Here is a 2564-nt window from a genome sequence, read left to right as displayed (position 1 = left end):
AAGCAAGAAGAACAGAAAGGAAATTTGTCTCAGACCATTGCTGTAGGCTTATTATACTTGAAGTTGGGGTTTCATTTACATATAACTTCCTCTCCACTAACAATAAAGAAGTAGATCTTCAGTTCTCTTGTGCAGCAATAACTCTGGAATGTAAAAGTGGTTTCCTACAGTTTATGCAATTGGAAAAGAAAATCATAAATACTTCAGACCAGAGAATGTCGCCAATGTTGGAATAGACAATTTTCTGTATTATCACCTGTTTGCCCATGCTAATAAAAATATTCAGTGACAGCCAAATAGTTAGTGTGGTGGTAGAGGCCAGAGGAGAGACTTCTCAACTTCATGTTAGCCCATTTAGCAAAGCTCTAATAACTTCCAGACCTTTAAGTCAGGCTTAAAAATAGACCATAGCTCTGTTATGAGTCCTAGGCCTCTCTAGGGTCATTGGAGTCCATTGACAGCACCACCCCCTAAGCTCAGATATTCCTAAAGAAATGGAACATAAAGAGATAGGGTACACTTCCTTCCTCTCCAGTGCTAGAGAGTTCTCCTTCAGCAATTAGCCTCTTTGCAGGAACTAAAATTACACTTAAAAAGTCATAAATTCTCCCTGAGTTATGTTTTTGCAAGCTTAAGTTCCTAATACAAACTGTTTCCTGAAATGAATGACCAGCTGGAGAGAATATATTTTGGATTCTGCAGTCATGAAGGCCACATATCCATCTCAGCTTAGCTCCCCTTCTTCCTTTTTCCTATATGCTTCTTGAAGCCTCTGATGTCTCATCACTAAATTACTCACTGTCATTCCCAGTGCAGACAGGAATGTTTGGGATCACTTCAAGCAGGGAAGGGAGGTGGATGTCAGGGCTGATGTGGAGAGGTGTGGGGCAGGAGTTCTACTTGGCTGAGGCCTCCCACCCACAGTGAGTTTCATGTTTATACTCTCAACTTTCTCTCCAAATCATCAACTCCAAAGAGTCACAGAAATGAACGGACAGAATTCAAAGATGATGTTGCATTACCTCAACTTACTACATACCCCATTAGCAATCTACAGTGCCTGTAGTGTACTATGAATTAATTTTTTTATAAGTCCTGAATTGCATCATTACATGGCATTGCTTTTTTATGGGTTAAATGTGTTAATCTATTAAATGTAAACATTTAAAATATACAGTTTCTTAAAACACATCTGGATATGCCTGTAGTGTTAATAAACTGAAAACTCTGTAGTGGTCAAGGTCTCACTTAAATTCCGAGAGGCCAAGGTAACACAACATATAAGGAGATGGTCATTGCAGCCCTCCTAGAGGGAGAGAGGTACTCCACGTGGCCTCCTTTCTGCTTGGCTAGGGGTGAGGAGTGGTAGCTCTTTGATCTCCTACTTGTTGACAGAGCCACATTTGGCTCTCCCTGAAGCTGGCATAAAGGAGAGGCTAAATCCCTTTTGAGTTGTTCCTGCCCAACAGAATGCAAACAGATGGGCCTGGTGGGGAGAAGAGCCCCTCAGGAGAGAGGACTGCTGAATAACTCTGCCTGTGGGCTGCTGCCTCACACCTCCCCTGGTGAGTTACAGAGGCTGAGTTCAAAGGAAACACATGAACAGCTCATCCACTCTTTAGGATTCAAGTGCCGTTATCTTGAGAAGCTGAATTATACCTAGACCTTGAATTGAAGACCTTTAAGCACGTTTCTGTGAGTTGTTTCTCAGATGATAATTGAAGGTGGACAATTCTTTTCTGTGTCCTAGCAGCCTGGGTAGAGTACTGGTGATAGGAAGAGGAGACTGAGGCAGTTAGGCTAAATAATGAAAAAGAGCCAGTTCTACATTGGTTGTGATAATGGAGTCAGAGATGGCATGTTCCTTTCCTATTGCTGTTGCAACAAATGACCCCAAATTTAGTGACCTAAAACCACACAAATTTATTATCTTAGAGTTCTGCAGGGCAGAAGTCCAAATGGGTCTTCCTGCACTAAAATCAAGGTGTCGGCAAGGCTGGATTCCTTTGGAAGCTATAGGGGAGATCCTGTCTTTCTTGCATTCTTCACATTCCTTGGCTAGTGGCTGCTTTCCTCCATCTTCACAGCCAGCAAGGATGGGCCAGGTCTAACACTACATCACTGTGGTTCTATCTTCTGATTCCCTCTTCCACATTTAAGGGCCCTTGTAATTATATTGGGCCTACCCAATAACTCAGAATAATCTCCCTTATTTATAAGTCAGCTGATTAGAAGCCTTAATTCTGTTTCCAACCTTAATTCTCTCTTTACCATGCAATCTAATGTATTCACATGCCCTGGGAATTAGGATGTAGATATCTTTGGGGGGGTCAGAATTCTGCCTATAACAGATGACATGTATTAATTACAACTGGAGATCAAGCTGTCCTTTATTAACAGACATTTATTGAACACTAATTTGCCCCAGGGATATAAAGAAGAATTAAGAGTAAAAAGAGAAAAGCCATACAGGGCCCCAAAAGTGCTGGGATTATAGGCATGAGCCACAATGTCCAGCCATTCTGAGAATTTTAGATGAAATAATGTGTGTAGAGTAGGAAGCA

General features: G+C 41.5%; 1 annotated feature.

Annotated features, from left to right (window-relative positions):
* Nucleotides 1203-1878: an enhancer, noted in NCBI's record as "OCT4-NANOG hESC enhancer chr4:53068243-53068918 (GRCh37/hg19 assembly coordinates)". NCBI's record gives its function as "activates a minimal SCP1, AML or CMV promoter by ChIP-STARR-seq in naive H9 embryonic stem cells {active_cell/tissue: H9 hESC(naive)}" and the evidence as "EXISTENCE:reporter gene assay evidence [ECO:0000049][PMID:30033119]".

Source organism: Homo sapiens, chromosome 4 (genome assembly GCF_000001405.40).
Source record: "Homo sapiens chromosome 4, GRCh38.p14 Primary Assembly".
In the NCBI taxonomy this organism is placed as follows: domain Eukaryota; kingdom Metazoa; phylum Chordata; class Mammalia; order Primates; family Hominidae; genus Homo; species Homo sapiens.
This window is presented reverse-complemented; position numbering and strand designations above follow the sequence as displayed.